The following is a 22,792-nucleotide window of genomic DNA, read 5'->3' on the forward strand; positions in this document are numbered from 1 at the left end:
TATTCTGGATTCAACTAGAGAAAGTCATTTTCTTTAAAGCATAAAAATAAATGCATCCATAAGAGGTAAAATACAGACATTACCTTAAAAATACAAATAAATACCAAGGTTGGAGGTATAATATGGAAATACAGTCCCAAACTGAGAGAATTAATTTAAACTTTTCCTTACTGAGTTAGGAGATTAGTCCTCATTCATTGAATCATCTGAATTTTGCCGATTACTTTTGAACTCATTAAAGATCACTTTTGTTTATGATTTTGATCTATTTTTTCCGAACAAGCTCATTTTTTTTTGTTGTTTAGTAGATTTGATAAGAACCACCATGCTAATAAAATAACCTTATGGGCACATTTTTTTCCTCTTTATATGTAGTGGATATCCTCAAATCTGAAATTTTCTGTTTTTCCAATTCTTCTAATGCCTAATTATGGTCTCAGATCATCTATTCTAAAATTGCCTGATTGGGAGTATTGACACTCTCTTTTGAAGACTGATAGAATTATTGATTCTTCAACCATGGCCCCTAATAACACACTATAATGGAAAGAATGCTTTTCTGTGACAAGTACTTCAAAAACAAATTCCTTTTTGGTCCACAATTTACCTATTTTAAGTGAAGGATCCATCTCCTTGCAATGCTCTACCTGTCATATTGATACTACTATTATTGTATTAGATATATGCATTGAAGATACACATGTTCATAATTAAGTTGAAACAGACACACACACACACACACACACACACACACACACACACAAAGTGATTCTTCCCTGGCCAGTGAGACTAAAGCTTGGATAAATACAAGCATGTCCTAGATACCTTTAATGCAGTTAGGTGGGAAAATCCAGCATTCTCGGGAAACCTTGGAATTTTAAGCTTTAGTGAGCTGCCTGGTGTGCCTTAAAACAGGTATCCAATCTCATTCTAGTGATGATGATAGAGCAACATGGTAGCCCCAGTCAGAATATTTTGCGGTTGACTGACTTAAAGACTTATTCTTATTACAGGTGGTTTTAGCCTATATAATAGTCCAGGCAGAAAAACAGATAGCACAATCAAAGGTGTAATCAAAGGTGTAAAAAGGGCTTCAGTGACAACGTATAGAGGTGTAGGCAAGGTTTAAAATAGTCAACAAGTAATAAAGTACCTAGGAACTGGGTACTTCTGGTATTCTTGCAGCAATAGCAGCAAGTCCTTAGTATCCCTAGGTCTGAAGAGTTGAGAAGTGAGGGCAATTTAACAAACCCTGTAAGAGCCATAGCTCTGGAAACTTCAAGCTGAAGAGGCATGCAGTCACTACCAAGCTGTGGCCCAGCAGACAAAGCTGGGAGTGGTGGTACTAAATAATATGTGACCTCTCTTTCTGAGCCTCACATTGGCCAAACCCAACCAGGTGCCCAAAGGCAAGGAAGCCAGGTGATGCAGTCTGCAGAGGTCAGCCATCTGGGCTGACTGAGAAGAGAATGAATGAAATAATTCTCTTTAAACTGCAAAATGTGACCCAATTACCATGAAACTGAAACTACATTGAAATTAAACTGAAAATGTGACCCGTTTACTGATTACTGATTACACAAAGCTACAAATGATGAAGAGCTGAGCATAAATGAACAGTTAAGATTGGAATCTAAAATGAATTGACACATTTAATAATGTGCTCAGTCAATATTGTGTTCATTTCTTTATCCATTCAGACATCTACTTGTCTTTTCAAGGTAAGTGGTTTACTGTAGAATGTGATTTATATTCAAAGTCTAACTTAATTTTTAATTTTTAAAAACTTTCTCCTTTGTTAGTATATCAGAGGGCCAGGATTAGAACCAAGGAATAATAGGACTGAAAGAAATATGCAGCATTTTATTTAATAAGTTTATGGATAACTGAGTTCCACTTGCATACCTGAACAATTTTATGTTGAATAGCTTGAGAAAGAAGCAGCAGCAGCAACTGGGCCTGTTAGGACAAATGAGAAAGAGGACTGGGTTGATTTGGGTGAGCAGGAAAAGAGTAGACTCGAGCAGCTGGAAATGCTGGTAGCAGCTCACATATTAGTGTGTCCACACTTGTCCCTAGCAACGATTCTATAGCTACAGCAGTAAGCTTATCCTGCTTAAGGTGACAAAATTAACGGCAATGTATTTGCACTAGAATATAATCAATATCATATTGTTTCTATTTTGATGGATGTGAGTGAAAATGGGGGAAAAGTAAAGTTTTGGGTTTGGAAAATAAACTGATTGATTAATCCCATGTACCTTTCATGTAATTGTATCAGTTTGGGCTTGATTCTACATCCTCCTGCCTACTTCTCTTAACTCATTCGGGAGTGAACAAAGGAAGGAATTGCCTAAGCACCAGTGTGAAAGCCAAAGCATAGAGTCCGACACACCTGGAGTCTAATCTTGGTTCACGTCTTACCAGTTCTGTGAACTTAGGCAAGTTACTTAATCCCTCTAAGCCTCAGTTACCTCATGTTGATTATTGTACATTTCTCACAGGGTTATTATTTGGGTTGATTGAGATAATGCAAATAGAGAGAAACATATGATACTTATGAACTCTCATTAAATGTTAGCTGTGGTGATGATGATGATCACAACACCAATGACCATGTTTAGGATGGTTCTGATTGTTATTTTCGCTGGGAGCAATATCCACTAAATTTTAGATTTGATAAAATGGCATTATTTGAGAATGTCACAAGTATGTATTATAAATAAAACTATTACTAAATTAAGATTTAAGATAACATTTTAATATAGACACCTGTAAGTAAAGAAACATTCAGTATGAGTTTAGTTTTGACCACAAATTCTTCCTAACCAGGGATCCCTGAAAGGCCGGGGATCCACATCTTGGTTAATTTTTTCAGTCCTCTTGGGTCTTAGTCTTTGGTCTTTTTCAATAAATATCTGTTTGACAGTATCCTTATTGGCCTTCTTGGCCTCATTTCCCTGGAATGCCTCTTTCTGTGCTATTATGGATGTTGCAAGGTAGGTCTGGATTGCTTTTGCAAATAATCAAGTTTACTGAATATTTGTATTACCAAGATTTGCTGACTTAGTGCTCAAGTCTTATGAGCTTCCTTTGTTTTGCTCATATTTCTGAATATTGCATCTTTTGCCTTCTGCATTCAATAAACTGTGCAGTAGACCCTTGTGTTGCTACTTCGGTATAATTTGTTAGGAGCTGGGCCCCAAAGTCAGACTGTCTGTGTCTGAATTAGGCTTCATTATTCATTCATTAGCTGTGAGATTTAACTAGTCAACTTTATTCTGTCTTAATTTCCTCTTCTTTAACAGTGACAATTATCAGTACCCAAATCGTAGGGTTGTAAAAATTAAATGAGATCATCTATGTGCTAGCACCTAGTCTAGTGCCTTGTATATAGGAAATCCTTAATAAATATTACAATACGTTCAATACTACTTGAACTTCCTCCCCATGAGACGATTATACTTCTTTCCACTGAAGTTAGGCATGGCCAAATGATTTGCTTTTGCTAATGAAATATGAGCAGAGCAGATGTATGTAATTCTCATTTGGAAGCTTTTAGAGCCAGTGCACCCATCCACCATAGCTTTGTTTCCTCGATTATGAGAATGCACTTTCAGGATAGCTATGTTCTATGTGCCTAGGCCTTGGAATAGAGACATTGTAGAAGAGACTGATAGCGGACCTGCCAAGGACCAATTTCATGAACATAAAATAAACCTTTAAAGTGTGTGTGGGGGGGTGTTCGTAATTTTGCATAACTTTTAAAAAGCAAATACATTCCTCATGCCATCAGAATTCATTGTCAGACTATTACTTGTTCACTGTCTATCTGCAGGTCTTTGCTTATGTTTACTTTTTAATGACAGAAATATCTGTAAAGACATGTTTTTACTTTCATAGCAAATTTGCCCACTTGGCCAGTAAAAGACTTCTGAGCAAGATTGCAGTGAGCCGAGATGTGCCACTGCACTCCAGCCTGGTGACAGAGTGAGACTCCATCTCAAAAAAAAACCTCTGAGCAATGCTACCCTTAAGTCAAGTCCATGGTATCCTCTGCTCTGTTCCACCATTGTCTTATTTCTTGATACTCTGTTCAGAGTAACATGGTAATTGTGTGAATGTAGCTGTACAATCTTAGTATTTTATCTTTTAAAAATTACCTGCTGACCGAGACCATTTAAAAGCTGTTTATTGGAGTTCTTTAGCGTAGAATAAATAAAGCTTACATATTTTACACAAATCCACATTACAATGAATTATTTTTTTTAAAAGACAATGACATGATGAGAATTTACTTAACGCTTTCTTTTTTTTTTGAGATGGAGTTTCGCTCTTGTCGCCGAGGCTGGAGTGCAATGGTGCGATCTCGGCTCATTGCAACCTCTGCCTCCCAGGTTCAAGCAATTATCCTGCCTCAGCTACCCAAGTAGCTGGGATTACAGGCATGCGCCACCATGCCCAGCTAATTTTTTTGTATTTTCAGTACAGACGAGGTTTCACCATGTTGGCCAGGCTGGTTCAAACTCCCAACCTCGGGTGATCCGCCCACCTTGGCCTCCCAAAGTTCTGGGATTATAGGCGTGAGCCACCATGCCCGGCCTACTTAATGCCTTCTAAATGTTCCTGAATTACATGAAAATAAAAATTCGGAATTTATAAATAACTAGTAGAGCTTGTTACATAATAAAGTCTAGAGATTAAAATTTAAAAAATAAACTCTAAGAAAAATTTCTGTTTTCCAATTATATTTAACAGAACATGACTGAAGATTTTAATGATCAAAACTATTGTAAAACAAATATTTTTTAACTGCTCTCAAAATTAATCTTTTTTTCTAAGCTTGAATTTTCTTAAGACTATTTTGTGGATGTATCCTGTCTTCTCAGACAGCTCCAAGGAGTTACAGATGAGACTGTACTCCTGAATAGGCAGTTACAATTATCCTTAGTAAAGGAAGGTTCATTCCAGTATTCTTAATGTTCAGAAATAATACTCCAAAGTTAACAGCAGAAGGTTTAGAATGGGGGCAGCAGCAAAAGAGGGTTATAATGTAAAACTGTCTTTTCATATTAATCAAAACCATACCAATATATTGAGACATCTTTGCTATGTATTTGGAATTTTGGCTCAGAAGATGGAAATAAGTTAGAGTATGGGGCGCGCGCTTTTCTTTCCTTCTCTCTTTTTAAAACTGTTTTTTAAAAGTACTTACACAGAAAAGGCATAATGGACAGGGGTTACACTGGGAGGAGGATGCTAACACAGAAGCTGTGTGATAAATCAGAGTGGGCTCTTGGTTCCGGAATAACTAATTCTGGACTGGGCAAGTCAGCTAGAATTTGTGGATCTCAGCTTCCTCATTTGTAAAACCTAGATGGGTTAGATATGGTCACTGAAATCATGTAAATGAACGTCTGAAACTCTATGAAATTCTGTAACAAAGCACATTCTTCAAAAATCGTTGGATAACAAAATTTTCCTATTACAGTCAATACAACATTTTTTAGGAAACTTAACTTTAAGGACTATGGAAGATATTATAAGTTGATTCACTCATCCATTCTAACCCTCTTTCCCTTATCTTTCTCTAGTATGGGGGCTGGGAAAATACATAATAAATAAATAATTAAGAAACAATTCTCTTTTCCAGTCTTCCTTGCAGACAGCATTGATGATGTGTCATAGTTGTGGCCAGTGAGAACTAGGCAGAAGTATGTTGAACTTCTGGGAAAGCCCTTGTTTTCCTGATGCGTGTACTATCCCTTTTATATTTTCCTCTTGTCTTTTCTTACTGTCTAGGAATTAGTTTGATGGCTGAACCTGTAATCGCCATTTAATTAAGAAAAGGCCACAAAACCATCAGAGAAATGCAAATCAAAACCACAATGAGATACCATCTCACACCAGTTAGAATGGCAATCATTAAAAAGTCAGGAAACAACAGGTGCTGGAGAGGATGTGGAGAAATAGGAACACTTTTACACTGTTGGTGGGACTGTAAACTAGTTCAACCATTGTCGAAGTCAGTGTGGCGATTCCTCAGGGATCTAGAACTGGAAATACCATTTGACCCAGCCATCCCATTACTGGGTATATACCCAAAGGACTATAAGTCATGCTGCTATAAAGACACATGCACACGTATGTTTATTGCGGCATTATTCACAATAGCAAAGACTTGGAACCAACCCAAATGTCCAACAATGATAGACCGGATTAAGAAAATGTGGCACATATACACCATGGAATACTATGCAGCCATAAAAAATGATGAGTTCATGTCCTTTGTAGGGACATGGATGAAATTGGAAATCATCATTCTCAGTAAACTATCACAAGAACAAAAAACCATACACCGCATATTCTCACTCATAGGTGGAATTGAACAATGAGATCACACGGACACAGGAAGGGGAATATCACACTCTGGGGACTGTTGTGGGGTGGGGGGAGGGGGGAGGGATAGCATTGGGAGATACACCTAATGCTAGATGACGAGTTAGTGGGTGCAGCGCACCAGCATGGCACATGTATACATATGTAACTAACCTGCACAATGTGCACATGTACCCTAAAACTTAAAGTATAATAAAAATAAATAAATAAATAAATAAATAAAATAAAAAAAAAGAAAAGGCCACAAAAATTATCAACCTTGGCCTTCTATCCTTGAACCACAAATCAATATCAACAGCTTCCTGTCTTTAGACTTCTTACGTTAAAATTAAATAAATAAAACTTAATTTGATTGAGCCACCATTTCGATATTTCATAGCTTAGCAAACCCTAACTCTTAAAAGGACTAAAAATGGATCCCTTCAAAAAGGCATCCTAAATTTAGTATGTTATTTTTTTCATATGGGATATAAAATTTTCCAGCTGGTTGAACATTCCAACTTCACAAGGCAACATGAACTTATATTTTATGTCATAAGGTAATATTATATTAGAGCTGAAATATAACCTAATGATTAGTTCAAATCCACTGAAAACAGCCCATAAATAGTACTTATTTGCTCACATTATTCCTCTAACTTAATTGGTATAAAACTTATTTATGTTATTTTCTGATACGGGCTTTATTTAGTTCACCTACTAATATTACATGTATAAATGTAGGCATATACATATAAATATATATCTAGATTTTAAAATCTTTTCTTGCAATGTAAGCTGATTATAGATTTGGGGTACACGGATCAGCTTAACATAAAGTATTTATAATAATAGATATGAAAAGGAATATTTTAAGTTCACCCTGAAAGCATACATGTATATGCAAAGGCTCTTGTTTGTTTCATAATTCAAAAACTTTGTTGAGGACCTGCTAACAATGCACATGATAATGGTGCTTCATATTTGTACATGACTAATTGCAGTTCAGGGTATTTCATAAATGACCATTGGGTTGTGATTAAACTTCACCATGACCCACATGTTTTTGCATAAGAAAGGAATTATCGAAAATAGAGGCAGCGTATTCATTCAGTTCCCATTCAAAATTTAGCAGGAGAAAGAAATCCTTAATGGGTCACATTACAACTTCTATTACTGCACAGATCTGTCCTTTCAATGGGGAATTCCTGAACAGATGATGAGCAGTACAATATCCATTGTTGCAGACCTAGAAGTTGACAAAATTAATTGAGAAAAATTGTTACTTAAACCTCAAGAAAAAGTATTATCAGCAACCATAAGAAAGCTTATTTTCAAGATGAAATGACTTCTAGAAAAAAATCTCGGTAAAAACTGGAACTTTTATGAAGAAGACTAATAACTTGCTCAAATATTTTTTGGATGATAAGATGAAAGCCACATGATGGGAAAATGCTATGATGGGTACGCTGACACTGGCCTTGCATGTTGGGTGGTGATAGGTTTGGCTGTGTCCCCACCCAAATCTCACCTGGAATTGTAATAATCTCCACATGTCAAGGGTGGGGCCAGGTGGTGATAATTAAATCATGGAGGCAGTTTCCCCCACACTGTTTTCATGGTAGTAAATAAGTCTCATGAGATCTGATGGTTTTATAAGGGTTTCTCCTTTCGCTTGGCTCTCATTCTCTCTTGCCTGCTGTTATGTAAGATGTCCCTTGCTCTTCAGCCATGATTTTGAGGCCTCCCAAGCCATGTGGAACCATGGGTCAATTAAACTTCTTTCTTTTATAAATTATCCAGTCTTGGGTATGTCTTTATTGGCAGTGTGAGACAGACTAATACAGGTAGCTTCTAGATTAAGGGGACTCTGCCCAAGGCTGAATGTATCCTCCTGCCTTACAGTTATAGATGCACATGCTGACTCAGTTTTAAATCTCACTACAGAACTCAAGCTTCAGGTTCACCTTTCCAAAAACCCTATTTCTGGGAGGTGAGATGTACAGATTCTGTGTACTTGCTCCAGTGTGGGAGTGCTGCCATTTATTCTTAGGACTCTTATAGCTCTTTGTTTTCATGCTTTCATATTTGGTAGTATTGAGGGAAAGAGCCAGGTTTGGTGGGGTCTGAAGCTTATACACATCTGGGACCCTTTTAAGTAAAATAATTCTAAATTACGAATACAGTCCTAGAAGGTACCTGTGCAAATGAGGCTTCCTGAAGCCTAAGCTTCATTAGCGTCATGGTAAAATCCACCTCTGATAGTATATTATTCTAATTAAATTTCTTTGTTTATTACTTCTAAATATTACATCTTTACTTTTTCAAGTCAATGAAAAGTAAATGATGTCATCCTAAAATTAATATTCAGAAAAATGATTACAGTTTCTGCCGTAGTGTTCTGCACACAGTGGGGGTTCAATTAATTTTATTGATAGTGTTGCAACAAAACATGAGGCTTGTTCCTTTATAAAGAACAATGTTTATTTTTAAATATAATGGGAAAACATTTTAAAACATACTTGTATCATAACCAAACACAAATAGTCCTAAAAGGCTGCACCCCAAAGGTGATCACTGATAAGAACTGAATCAAGCACAGCATTTGGTGGTCTCATTTTAGTAACTTAGGATTTTGCAATCAGACTAGATAGGCTAACTAGTGTTGTAATAGCAACAAACCCCCAAATCTCAGTGGTTTACTTCTGGGTCACATTTACATCCTCAGTGATTTGGAAAAGGTTCTGCTCATGTGGCCTTCATTCTTGGAAAAGGGAGCAATTTCCTTTATATGCAAAACTGCTGATTTAATGTCTGAGGACAAAAAGATAAATGGAAAAACCAAGGGAAGGCTGTATGGGAAGTATGACCCCTTAGGGAGTGCCACAAATATTTCAAATAATAGTAAAATGTACACAGTACTTCTCCCTCTAAAGAAAACTAGAAAACATCTACCATCACCATCACCACAAATACCTCATTTATCTTCCCCTCCATGCCTAACTTTTTTTTTAAATGGAAATTTAGCATGAGGCTTTTTTCCTGCTTAAATGCAGAGAATAGCATCACCTTTCTTTTTAAATTATTCCATTTTAATTGACAAATACATATTGTGTATACTTATTGTGTATAAAATGAGGTTTTGAAATATGGATACATTCTGGAATAGCTAGATTGAGCTCATTAACATATGCATTACCTTACATACTTTTTTTTTAGGTGAGAGCATTTAAAATCTACTCTCATTAAGTTTCAAGAATATAATACATTGTTATTAACTACAGTTACTATGTTGTACAATAGATGTCTTGAATTTATTCCTCCTGTCTAATAGAAATTTTATATCCTATGAGCAACCTCTCCTTAACATCTACACCAGCCTTGTTCCTGGTAACCACCATTCTACTCTTTGCTATGAGTTCAACTTTTTTCGATTCCACATATAAATGAGATTGTGCTGTATTTGTGTTTCTGTGCCTGGCTTATTTCACTTAACATAATGTCCTTCAGTTTCATCCACATTGTTGAAAATGACAGGATTTCCTTTTAATTAAAGCTGAAGAGTATCCCATTGGGTATATATACCACATTTTCTTTATCCATTCATCTGTTGATGGTCACCTAGCTTGATCCCATATCTTGGCTACTGTGAATAATGCTGCAGTAAACAGGGGATCACAGATATCTCTTCAACATATGGATTTCATTTCCTTTGGATATGTGCTCTGTAGTGGGATTACTGGATGACATGATAATTCTATTTTTAGTTTTTTGAGAAATTTCCATACTATTTTCCAAAACAGCTGTACTAATTTCTATCCCACTAATAGTGTACCAAGGTTCCCTTCACATCCTAACACTTCTCATATTTCATCTTTTTGACAATAGCCATTCCGAGAGGTATGCAGTGATATCTCATTGTGGATTTAATTTGTATTTCCCTAAAGATTAGAGATGTTGAGCATTTTTTCATATACCTGTTGGTCATTTGTATGTTTTTCTTTGAGAAATGTCTGTTTTTCTTTGAGAAATGTCTGTTCAGATCCATTGTCTATTTTAAAAATTGTGTTGTTTTCTTGCTATTAAACTGTTTGAGTTTCTTATATACGTTGGATATTACTCCCTTATCAGATGTATGGTTTGCAATATTCTCTCCTAATCTTTGCATTGTCTTTTCACTCTGTCGATTGTCTTCTTGATTGTGCAGAAGGTTTTTAGTTTGATTTAATCCTATTTTGTTTACTTTTGCTTTAGCTGCCTGTGATTTTGAGGTCCTAGGCAATAAATCATTACCCAGACCAATGTCATGGAGATTTTCCTCTATTTTTTTCCTAGTAGTTTTGCAGGTTAAAGTTGTATGTTTAAGTCTTTAATCCATTATGAGTTGATTTTTGTATCTGGTTTAAGATAAGGGTCCAGTTTTGTTCTTTTGCATGTGGACATCCAGCTTTCCCAACGCCACTGACTGAAGAGACTATCTTTTCTTTATTGTATGTTCTTGGCAGCTTTGATGAAATCCAATTGACTGTAAATACTTGGGTTTATTTCTAGGCTTTCTATCCTATTACACTGATTGATATGTCTGTTTTTGTGTAGGTACTATGCTGTTTTGATTACAATAGCTTAATAATAGATTTTGAAATCAGACAGTGTGATGCCTTCAACATTGTTCTTTCTGTTCAAGATTGCTTTGGCTATTTGGGAGTTTTTGTGGTTCCATATGAATTTTAGTTTTTTTTTCTATTTTTATGAAAAATAACATTAGAATTTTGACAGAGATTGCATTGACTCTGTAGATTGCATTGAGTAGTGTGGACACTTTAACAATATTAATTCTTCAAATCCATGAACATACAGTGTCTTTCCATTTATCTGTATCTTCTTCAGTTTCTGTCATCAATGTTTTATAGCTTTCAGTATACATGTCTTCCATTTCCTTGGTTAAATTTATTCCTATGTATTTTGTTTTTTGTAGCCATTGTAAATGATATTGTTTGATTTTTTTCTCTTAGATAGTTCATTGTTAGTGCACAGAAATGCTAGTGACTTTCGTATGTTGATTCTGTATCCAACAATTTAACTGAATTCATTTATTAGTTCAAAGAATTTTTTAGTGGAGATTTTAGGGTTTTCAATATATATGATCATGTCATCTGAAAACAGAGAAAATTTAACTCCCTTCTTTCCAATTTAGACACTTTCTATTTCTTTCTCTTCCTTAATTGCTCTTCTAGTACTATGTTGACTAGAAGTGGCAAGAGTGGGCATCCTCCTCTTGTTTCTGATCTTAGGAAAAATGCTTTGAATACTTTTCACCATTGAGTATGATGTTAGTTGTGGATTTTTCATGTATGGCCTTTATTGTGTTGAGGTATATTCCTTCTATGCCTAATTTGGTGAGTTTTTTTTAATCATGAAGAGATGTTGAATATTGTAAAATGTTTTTTCTCATTCATTGAGATGATTATATGGTTTTTGTCCTTCATTCTGTTAATGTGGTGCATCATATTTATAGATTCGCATATGTTGAACTATCACTGCATTCCAGGGATAAATCTCACTTGATCGTGATGAACAATGCTTTTAACTTGCTATTGAATTTGGTTTGCTAGTATTTTGTTCAGGACTTTTGAATTTATGCTCATTATGGATATGGCCTATAGTTTTTTTTATTGTAGTGTTCTTTTCTGGCTTTGGTAACAGAGTAATGCTGGCTTCAAATTTGGAAGTATTCCCTTTTCTTCAATTTTTTGGAAGCATTTGTATTAGTTCTTATTTAAATGTTTGGTAGAATTCAGCAGTGAAAACCTCAAGTCCTGGGCTTTTCTTTAATGGGAGACTTTTTATTATTAATTAAGTCTTCTTACTTGTTACTCACCTATTCAAACTTTCTGTTTCTTCATGATTCAGTCTTGGTAGGTTGTATGTGTCTCGAAATTTATTAATTTCTTCTAGGTAATCCAATTTGTTGGTGTATAATTACTCACAGTGGTCTCTTATGATCCTTTGTATCTCTATAGTATCAGTTGTAATGTCTTCATTTCTGATTTTATTTATTTGAGTCTTCTGTCTTTTTTCTTAGTCTGTCAGTTATGATTATCTTTTCAAAAAAATCCATTCTTTTGTTCATTGATCTTCCTTGTTTTTCTAATCTCTATTTCATTTATTTATGCTCTTATCTTTATTATTTCTTTCATTTTACTAACTCTGGGCTTAGTTTGTTCTTTTTCCCCCTATCTCCTTGATTTGTTGTTTGAGATCTTTCTTATTTTTTGATGTAGGCATTTATTGCTATAAAATTCCCTTTTAGAAATGCTTTTGCTACATCCCATAAGTTTGGGCATGTTGTGTATCTATTTTTGTTTGTCTCAAGATATTTTTTAACTTCTCTTTAAATTTTTTATTTGACCCATTGGTTGTCAAGGAGCATGTTGTTTAATTTTCATGTATTTATGAATTTTCTAAAATTCTTCCTGTTATTGATTTCTGGTTTAATTCCATTGTGGTCAGAAAAGATACTTGATATGATTTCAATTTTAAATTTGTTAAGACTTGTTTAGTGGTCTATACTATATGATCTATTATTGTCTAGGCCACTAAACAAGTTTCATGTGCACTTAAGAAGAATATGCATTCTCCTGGTGTTATATGGAATGTTCTGTAATGTCTATTAGGCCCATTTGATCTAAAGTGTAGTTGGAATCCAAGATTTTCTTATTGCTTTTCTGTCTGAATAATCTGTTCACTGCTGAAAGTGGGGTACTGAAGTCCTCTGCTATTTTTATATTACAGCCTATCTCTTCCTTCAAAACTATTAAAATTTGCTTTATATATCTAGATGCTTTGATGTTGTGTGCATATATATTTATGATTGTTATATCCTGTTGATGAATTAACCCCTTTATCATTATATAATGACCTTCTTTATTTTATTTGATATAAGCATAGCTACCTCTGATATTGTATTAATAAAGACATCCTGAGGCTGGGTAATTTAAAAAGGAAAGAGGTTTAATTGATTCACACTTCAGCAGGACTGGGAAGCCCTCAGGAAACTTACAATCATGGCAGAAGGGGAAGCAAACATGACCTTCTTCACATGGTGGCAGCAAGAAGTGCCAAGCAAAAGGAGAAAAAGCCCCTTATAAAACCATCAGAACTCCTGAGAACTCACCCACTATCATGAAAACAACAGCATGGGAGTAACCACCCCCATGATTCAATTACTTCCCAGCGGGCCCCTCCCAGGACATGTGGGGCTTATGGTAACTACATTGGGTGGGGATACAGCCAAACCATATCAGCTATCTTTTGGTTTCAAGTTGCATGGAATTTGTTTTTTTTTTTCATCCTTTCATTTCGATCTGTGTGTATCCTTAAAGGTGAAAGGGGTCTCTTCTAGCAAACGTGTAGTTGGGCCTATTATTTGTTAATATACTTTCTATCTTTTGATTGGATAATTAATCCATTTACATTCAAGGTAATTATTGATAGGTATGGACTCATTATTGTCATTTTGTTATTTTTTTCTTTGGTTGTTTTGTAGATCCTTTGTTCCTTTATTCCTCTCTTACTGTCTTCCTTTGTGATTAGGTGATTTTGTTTAGTGGTATGCTTTGTTCTTTACTTTTTATCTTTTATGTATCTACTGTAGGTTTTCGCTTTGTGGTTACCATGAGGCTTACATAAAATATCTCATAACAGGCTGCTTTAAGATGATAATTATTTAATTTTTATTGCATAGAAAAACTCAGTATTTTTATTTTACCCATTTTATGTTAAAAAACTTTTCACTCTGAGTCAATAATGTTGATATTTTATGTTTTGATGTTTGAATCTACATCTTTTTATATTGTGTATATCTTAGCAAATTATTGTAGCTATTATTTTTAATAGTGTTGTATTTTAACCTTTACACTAAATATAAACGATCTGCACACCACTATTACAGGATTAGAATATTCTGAATTTGACTTTGTGCTTACTTTTACTAGTGAATTTTATACTTTCATATATATTTTTGTTACTAATTAGAGTCCTTTCCTTCAGCTTGAAGAAATCTCTTTAGCATTTCTTCTAAGGCAGTTCTGGTGGTATAAACTGTCTCAGCTTTTGTTTGCCTGGGAAGCCTTTATTTCTCCTTCATTTCTAAAGAACAACTTTGCTGAATATCAGTAGTCTTAACTGGCACGATTTCTTTTTTTTTCTTCAGCACTGTGAATATATAATCCCATTTTCTCCTGGCTTGTAAGGTTTCCACTGAGAAATAAACTGCTAGCCTTATTAGAACTCCCCTTTGTGTGATATGCTTATTTTCTCTTGCTGCTTTCAGGATCCTCCCTTTCTCTTTAATTTTTGACAGTTTGATTTTAATGTGTCTTGGTGTAGTCTCATTTGGATTGAATCTGATTGGGGACTTTTGACCTTCCCGTACAATGATATTTATATCTTTCACCAGATTATATTACATTTTTCACCAAAACCCTGTCTTTACTAGAAATACAAAAATTAGCTGGGTGTGGTGGCAGGTAACTGTAATCTCAGCTACTTGGGAGGCTGAGGCAGGAGAATTGCTTGAACCCAGGAGGCAGAGGTTGCAGTGAGCTGAGATTGCACCACCACACTCCAGCCTGGATGACAGAGTGAGATTTCCTCTCAAAAACAAAAAATATTTTTTCTGGCCCTTTATCTTTTTTCTCTCCTTCTTGAAATGGTATAATTCAAATATTTTCTCTTTTGATGCTTTCCCATAAATTCTGTAAGCTTTCTTCATTCCTTCAATTTTTTTTCTGTTTTCTCCTCTTATTTACATATTCTCCTCTTATATATTTGCAAATAACCTGTCTTCCAGTTCACAGATTCTTTTTCTTCATCAATTTTACTATTGATGCTCTCTATTGTATTTTTTATTTCATTCACTATGTTTTTCAGCTCTAGGATTTGATTTTTAAAGATAATTTTAATCTCTATTAAATTTCTCATTTCATCATTTATTGTTTTCTTGATTTCATTGAATTATTTCTCTGTATTTCCTTCAAGTTTGCCAAGTTTCCTTAGAAGAATTATTTTGAATTCTTTGTAAATCATTTCATAGATCTCAATTTCTTTAGGATTAGTTAGTGCTTTATTTCCGTTGTTTGGTGGTGTCGTTTCCCTGATTTTTCTTGAACCTTATCGGTATGTATTGGTGTCTGTTAATTTGAATAAATAGGGACTTATTAAAATCTTTGCAGACACACTTTATCTGGAAAAACTTTTACCAGTCAGTCTGTCTAGAGATTCTGGCATGCTTTCTGGTGTGGTTCACAGGTAGAGTTACTGCTGGATTTCCCAGGGAGGCTGCCCCAGTGCCCAGGTCTATGGGGTTGTACCTGCGGTCTGCATCCACTGGGGTGGACATGTTGATTGAGTCCACGGGGGTGGCCCTGGAGCCTGTGTTCATGAGGGTGTTCCTACAGCCTGTGTCCATGGGATCCTGCCCCAATCCTGGGTCTATAGGGACTGACCTGTTACTGCTGTGTGCTTTGAGCTTCAATCTGCAGGGGATGGGCAGGCACTAAGATGGGGCTGGAAACTGGTCTGGCACTGGGGTGGCCCTGTGGCTGAGTCTGCAGGAGCAGGCCTAGGTCCTGGGTCCACTATGGCCAGTCTGTAGCCTGGGTCGGCAGGTTTGGTTCTGGAGTCTCAGTCCATGAGGTCTGGCCTAACATTGGGGTCTACTGGATTCTGAGTCTCTGGGTTATATCCTGGAGCCAAGGATCATGGGTGTTGGCTTGGTACTTGAAGCCATGAAAGCTAGCCTGGAGCTTGGGGTCTACCAGGATAGGCCTAGACCCAAGGTCTGCTGAAGCAGGCCCGAACTGTGGGTTCACTGGTGTATAGGACCACAGCAGATGGCCTGGGGGTGTATTTTTGTGCATGTATAGTTGTTCAGATTGATGTTTCTGCAGGAGTACAAGCACTGGAAAGTCTTATTCACCATTTTGCTGACATCCAGATCCTATAAACTTTCTTGAGGGGAAAAATTCCGTTTAATCCTATTCTTGCACGTCACATGTAGTAAGAACCTACTATGTTGAGGGCTCTGTGCTGATCTTTGGAAATAAAAAGTGAATGACTAACACTTCCAAATAAATTATGTAGATACTCTGCCCTAAAAGAAGAGGTCATATCTTTGCTCCGTAAGTGTGGGCTGCGCATAATGACTTCCTCTCAGAGAATACAGTATGTAAAGGGGAGGAAAAAGAGTAAATTTACAGTGGAGAAACCTGACAAACATTACCTCAGCCAGGCGATTAAGATCGTCATCAACAGGGACAAACCATGTTGCCTAGTATATACCCTTGATATAATGTAATGAAAATAGAACTTTATAATCTTCTTTTCCAAAATCCATCACTTTATTTTTACCATGAGAAAAATATCAGACAAATTACTACAGAGGGGCATCCTACAAAATATCTGACTGGGATTCCTCAAAACTGTCATGGTCATAAAAAACAAAGAAAGTCTGAGGAAGTGCCACAGCCAGAAGCCTAAAAAGACATGATCACTAAATATATTGTGGTCTCCTAGATGGGATCCTTAAACAGAAAGAGCACATTAGTAAAAGCTAACAAAAAGAAATCTGATAAACTACGGACCTCAGTTAATAATGTACCAATACCAGTTCACTAATTGTAGAAAATGTATCATACTAAAGAAAGATGAGAATAGCAGGAGAAATTGTGTGTGTGTGTGTGTGTGTGTATGTGTGTATGTGTGTATGCATGTATATTGTTCTCTATACAGTTGGCCATTGAATAACACAGGATTGAACTACATGGATACACTTACATGCACATTTTCTTTCACCTCAACCACCCTTGAGACACAAGACAAACGTTTCCTCTTCCTCTTCAGCTTATTCAGCGTGAAGATGAAGAGGATGAAGACATTTATGATGATTTACTTCTACTTAATGAATAATAAATATATTTTCCTTATGATTTTCATAATAAAATTTTCTTTTCTCTAGACTATTGTTTGAACACAGTATATAATACATATAGCATACAAAATGTGTGTTAATTGTTGATGTTTTGGGAAGGCTTCTGGTCAGCAGTAGGCTATTAGTAGTTTTTAAAGAGTCAAAAGTTATATGTGGATTTTCAACTTTGCAGGGGGTCTGCTCTCCTAACCCCTGTGTTGTTCAAGGCTCACTGTACTATCTTCTGAATTTCTCTGTAAATCTAAAACTGTTTTGAAAAATAGTCTATTAAAAAACTACAAAAAATGTGAATGAGTTATCTTTGTCCTCTTAGAGCTCAGTTGACAAGAGACTAAAACCAGGAAAAAATTATAATATAGTGTCATATATGCAATAATATAGGTTTGAACAGAGAACATGCCAACCCAACCAAAACTTTTAAGATAAATTATCTTTTCAACTAAATCGTAATTTAAAAATTTGAGTCTCTAGTAGCACGCAGCATGTATCTTACTCAAAGTCAGCATTCAAATGTCTAGCAGAATGATGAGGAAGACTGCTCCCATTTGTGAAATGACCTGGACATGGGATACTTAAATAATTAGACTTAAGTGAAGGTTAACTATGCCTGGTATCACCACCCTAAAAGGTGAAAATAAGTTTCAATTCAAATTTTGCCATATACATCTTTATTACACAAAATCTGTTTTAGATACCCAGTGAAATCCCAGGGGCATTTCCTTTTATGTGCTTCAGCCATACTTTACATGAAAGGTTTCTTGAGAGACAATAGAGGGAGAATTTTCCCCTTAAAGTCAATGGTAGGCAAACAGAATCATTAAAAAAAAAAAAAAAAAAAAATCAGCCTAGACACTAAAGTAAGGCCTCGTCTCTAAAAAAGTTAGTCCCAGATACTACTTGGGAGGCTAGAGGATCACTTGTGCCCCGGTCAAGGCTAGAGTGAGCCCTGATGGTACAGCTGCACTCCAGCCTGGGTGACAGAACAAGACCCTGTCTCAAAATACAAAACAAAACAAAACAAAACAAAAAACCCCCACAAAAACCAAAACCAAAACAAACAAACAAAAAAAACCCTCCAAAAACTTAAAGGCTGGACACTTGACCATTTCTTAACTCCATTTTGAAAGGTAAAGGGTGAAAGGTCACTAGATAGTTATATCTGGCATATATACAAATCAGAAATATCTCTACTTGAGTCAATATCATCAATTTCATCCATGAAATGAGAACCCATTACTACGATTCGTCATGCTAACGAACAGAATCCTCAGTGTGGATAGAAAGTTAAGCAGAAGCTCTAGCACCAACAGCCTTTGGAGTATCTTTATTATTTTTTATTTTTAAATTTTTATTTAAAGCTAGCTGACCACTCCTGCAGCGTGAATTCCTGATTAGAGCAAAGTGAGGGATAAATCTAGCCATCATACACTTTTATCCTCCTAAGAATGCTGAACTATTTTAAAAGTACAGCTACCATACCACTCCTTTTCTCGAGTTATCTTGCTGTTATGAAATTGGTAGTCTGGCTTTATTCCTGAGGTTTTTGTTTGTTTGTTTGAAATGGGGGTTTCACTTTGTTGCCCAGCGTGGTCTCGAATTCCTGGGCTCAAGCAATCCTCCAGCCTCGGCTTCCCAAAGTACTGGGGTTATAGGCTTGAGCTACCGGGCCTAGGCCCTAATCCTAAATTTTAATCTTAACTCTGCCACTGTGAGACCTTGGGCAAATCACACTACTCCCATGGATCCGAGTTCTCTCCTCTAAAAATGAGGGTACTGGGTTAGGTCTTTCTTGATCTTTCCATCCATATAATTAATCTATAAGCTTAGCTGTGTTTTAGCTGACGTAGAGGAAAACCATAAATATGAAAGCAGAGACACCAGCTTTAATTCGTTTGATGGTCAAATTACATACACCATAAATATTAGCCTCTTTGAGTGATCAACTGTTAGCTTTAGCCAAGTATGTTTAGGATTACACTTAAAAAAATATTTTATTGTTGTACACTTCATAAAGGAATCTACAGCTACTAGTGATGCTAGTATAGACTTCATTTATAGCAGAAAAAAAATCCCCAAGGTAAGAATACTAACCACTGAAGGAGATCACCTCGTTAATTCTCGGCCCTTCTAACTCTGCTTGCCTTCTTTCAGGGTTGGTTTCAGAGCGAATGGTCCTCTCTGTTCAGCCTTAAAACGCGGCATACCTAAGTCATGTTTCCAACAGCAGTCACCATATTCCCTCACGTTTCCCATTTGACAAACCCCAAATGTAGCATTTTTTTCTCTTAAAATTCCCTTGAATGATTCTTCAAGCTCCACGCATCTGTGGGGACGTTCCAGGTACCGCCCCACAATGCTACCTCCTCTTTAAAAGAAGTCGTTCAGCTGGGGCGGGCTGGCGCTGCGTGGCGCGCACCTGAGCGGCCGGGGCTCCCCGAGCCACGGGGGGCGCGAGAGGGCGAGGCAGCGGCCTGGCTTCTCCCCAGCACCGTTCTCTGTCACGGCCGCCGCCTGACCATCACCCCGCGCCTCGCGTGGGCATGTCTCGCTTCAGAAATCCCAAGTCGTCTTAGGTTCCCTGGTCCTTCCCCTGGGGGGGAAAAAAAACGCTGGTGCAGCCCAGAGCCCTTTTCCGCTCCACCCCGGGATGTCCTCGCTGCCCTCCCGCCTCCCGCGCGTCCTTCCCAGCGCGTCGGCCGCGCGCCCAGGTGTTCCCGCGTCCGTAATCCCCTCCGGCCCGCGCCTCCCGGCCCGCCCTGCGGGTCTCCAGCGCCTGGGCCCGCGCTCTCGCCGCGGGTCCTTCCTCCTATCCCCACCCAGCCCCGCCCAGCCTCCGCGGCGCTGGGGCTCCCGGCCGAGCCTCTCCTCCCACCTCCGTCCCCTACTTCCCTCCCCAAGAAGTGCTATTTTTAGCAAATTCTCCGCGCGCCGCCGCCCGCTCAGCTCGCAGCTCGCAGCCGCCCGCTGCCGCCCTCCCGAGCCCCCCCCGCGCGGCGGCGGCGGCGGCGGCGGCGGCGGCGCGTCCCGCACATCGCGCAGCGCGCACCGAGCCGGCCGCGCCGCGCCCGCCGCTCTCGCCGCTTTCGCCGCGGTCTCCTCCTCTAGCGCCCGCCGCGGCCGGTAAATCTCGGCTGGAGGAGCAGCGGCGGCCCCCGAGTCAACTTTCATTCCCTTTTTGCTTCTGCCTCACCATTCTCTTCTCCTCCTCGAAAGATGGCTGTTTGGAGAAGGGGGAGAAGTTAAGAGGTCGCCAGCGCGGAGCGAAGGAGGGCGCGATAGCCTCAGCAGGAGCGGGCGGAGGTGAGTGGCACCACGGCAGAGTCCCCGGCTGGTGCTTGAGGAAAGCCCTGGGAATTGGGGGCCACCGGTCCTCAGGATGCGCCGCGGTATTCCCTTCTCGGGTTCCGCAGGTTAACAGCATCTCAGTCCGGACTCTGATGCCACTTGCCTTGCATCTCGCAGCCCGGAGACCGGTGGGTTTAAGGGAACCTTCGTCAGAAGTTGGGTGCTAGGTCATCTTTGTGGCATGCAGACCCTGACATTTGGCTAGGCAAACTGAGGCGAGCGGTCGGTGGCGTGATTCTCTCCCGCCCCCAAACACACCCAGTTTATGTTGGAGCCGAGCTATGAATGAAAAGTTTGTACTGGCAACGTGTTGCTTGAGGGGAGCAACGCTTATTGGGGGGTACCTTTGATGTTTCGTGGAGGACTTCAGTTTTAAGTCAATACATCAGAATCCTGGGTTTTAAGAAAAGTTCAGGAGGCTGGGGGATGGGATGGGAGATAAAGCAGTTCCTTGACTAGTGGAAGGAGAGTGATGAATCGTAAGCTTATTAAGGTAAACTGGTTAATTAGATGCCATACGAGGGTGTCACAGTGGGGACTAGAGGGAACGGAGGACGGGGGCGTTCCCTGAGCGCCTAGCAGGCTGCGTTTGTTTGGCTTTGAAGCCGTTATCCCCTTGTCCGCAATGAGAGGTGCTGGTGTCAGGCCTGTGTGTCTGTGATGTGACAGAGCGGGACTGAGCTCTCTCCAGATCCGAGGCGCGGTTGTCAGGAGAGGTGGCCTGCAACGGAGAGCTGAGGATGCAGTTCCTGTGATGTGGACTTGGAGAATTCTCTAGTGAGTCTCCTGTGCTCCAATTTCAGGAAGATCTGTCAATTGTTTTTTCTTCCAGGGAGGTGTGTGTAATCTCCTAAAAGGAACTTTCAGCTTTAAGTAACTGTAGCATTTTGAAATCCTATAAGAAATGAGATATCTACATATATTCATTATTTCATGTATGTGGGGTGTGTATGTGTGTGTGTAAAATATGGGAAAGGGGTAAGAAAGGCTTAAAAAGTTTAACTTCTACCAGAAAAGAAAGCGAAGAGTTAATTTTTTTCTCCCCAAATGGTATAACAATGCATATACAACTAAATACTCTTGCTGTGCTGAGATTTCTCATAAGGAGTAAGATTTAGGAATTACAAGTATTCAGAGCACTGTCATGTTTTCAAATCTTGCAGGCACTGTCGAAATCTGGAAAAAGGGAGTACGTACATAGAAAACCCATATTAAAGGAAAAAAACATTGAAAATCTCCCAAAAGAAAACCTTATGACATTTGAAAAGGCCTGGATGTTTTCTGATGCCCCAGAAATCTTTCTAATCCTGTAATTAAAAACAGCACAGAATAAGTTGCATTTAAGAAATCAGCAATCATGTTTAAAAGATATCTTTTGACCTTCTTTTTCGTACTTTTGATTTTTATTATGGAAATTATTGTGACTGAAAATTTGTTGTTTAATATATTTGCCTTTTACCACAGATAATTAGTCTTCCTTATCCTTTTAAACCACTGTTCCAGTTTGGACCAATTTAATTCCCCAAACATCAAATTACTGATGTTCCTTCTGGAAACCATTTATGTTTAAAATGGCTAATAAGAATATTATATTTCCAAAACAACATAATTTAGTCAGTTGTAAAACTTGCTTGTAATTTATTCTCATCCATTTTGTTTGAATGGGGCACATTTGAAGAAGAGCAGCATTTTCTTAGAATATGCCATTTTCTGTGTGGGAAAAAGCTAGTGTTTTCATATATGTTTTAGCTATTAAACAGATGCATGTAAGGTGGCAATCCTGTCTGACCTTTGATAAACTGCCAGCCAGAGGGAGAGAGATGCTTTCTTAGCTGTGCTAGTGAATTGATAATCTTTACTACAAAATGGACACGGTTAGATGCACATAAGGTTGTGCAGAAGGAAGTTAAGGAGTTTTAAATTAAATACCAGTTTATGGGTAGGAGACAGATTTTTTTTTTTAACCTTGATCTTCCTGTTTCTTTCTTTCTGCAGTTCAGCCTGTTGGGCTGGCCTTTATTGGAGAGTCAGACCAGCACTCTGACTAGAGAGTGTTTAGCACATTAAAGTGCTGTCTTT

At 38.0% G+C, this 22,792-nt stretch overlaps 1 protein-coding gene across 7 annotated transcripts in view, besides 2 other annotated features; it reads left to right on the forward strand.

Annotated features, from left to right (window-relative positions):
* Positions 20,221-20,769: an enhancer, noted in NCBI's record as "H3K4me1 hESC enhancer chr7:18126389-18126937 (GRCh37/hg19 assembly coordinates)". NCBI's record gives its function as "activates a minimal SCP1, AML or CMV promoter by ChIP-STARR-seq in naive H9 embryonic stem cells {active_cell/tissue: H9 hESC(naive)}" and the evidence as "EXISTENCE:reporter gene assay evidence [ECO:0000049][PMID:30033119]".
* Positions 20,280-22,792, forward strand: part of HDAC9 (histone deacetylase 9) — a 915,592-nt gene continuing 913,079 nt past the window's right edge. For all 7 annotated transcript variants that reach the window (NM_001321868.2, NM_001204144.3, NM_001321869.2 and 4 more), the window contains exon 1: positions 20,280-20,668. The gene's annotated coding sequence lies outside the window, so the exon portion shown is untranslated. The remainder of the gene's footprint in view (positions 20,669-22,792) is intronic.
* Positions 20,770-21,317: an enhancer, noted in NCBI's record as "H3K4me1 hESC enhancer chr7:18126938-18127485 (GRCh37/hg19 assembly coordinates)". NCBI's record gives its function as "activates a minimal SCP1, AML or CMV promoter by ChIP-STARR-seq in naive H9 embryonic stem cells {active_cell/tissue: H9 hESC(naive)}" and the evidence as "EXISTENCE:reporter gene assay evidence [ECO:0000049][PMID:30033119]".

Source organism: Homo sapiens, chromosome 7 (genome assembly GCF_000001405.40).
Source record: "Homo sapiens chromosome 7, GRCh38.p14 Primary Assembly".
Lineage (NCBI taxonomy): Eukaryota > Metazoa > Chordata > Mammalia > Primates > Hominidae > Homo > Homo sapiens.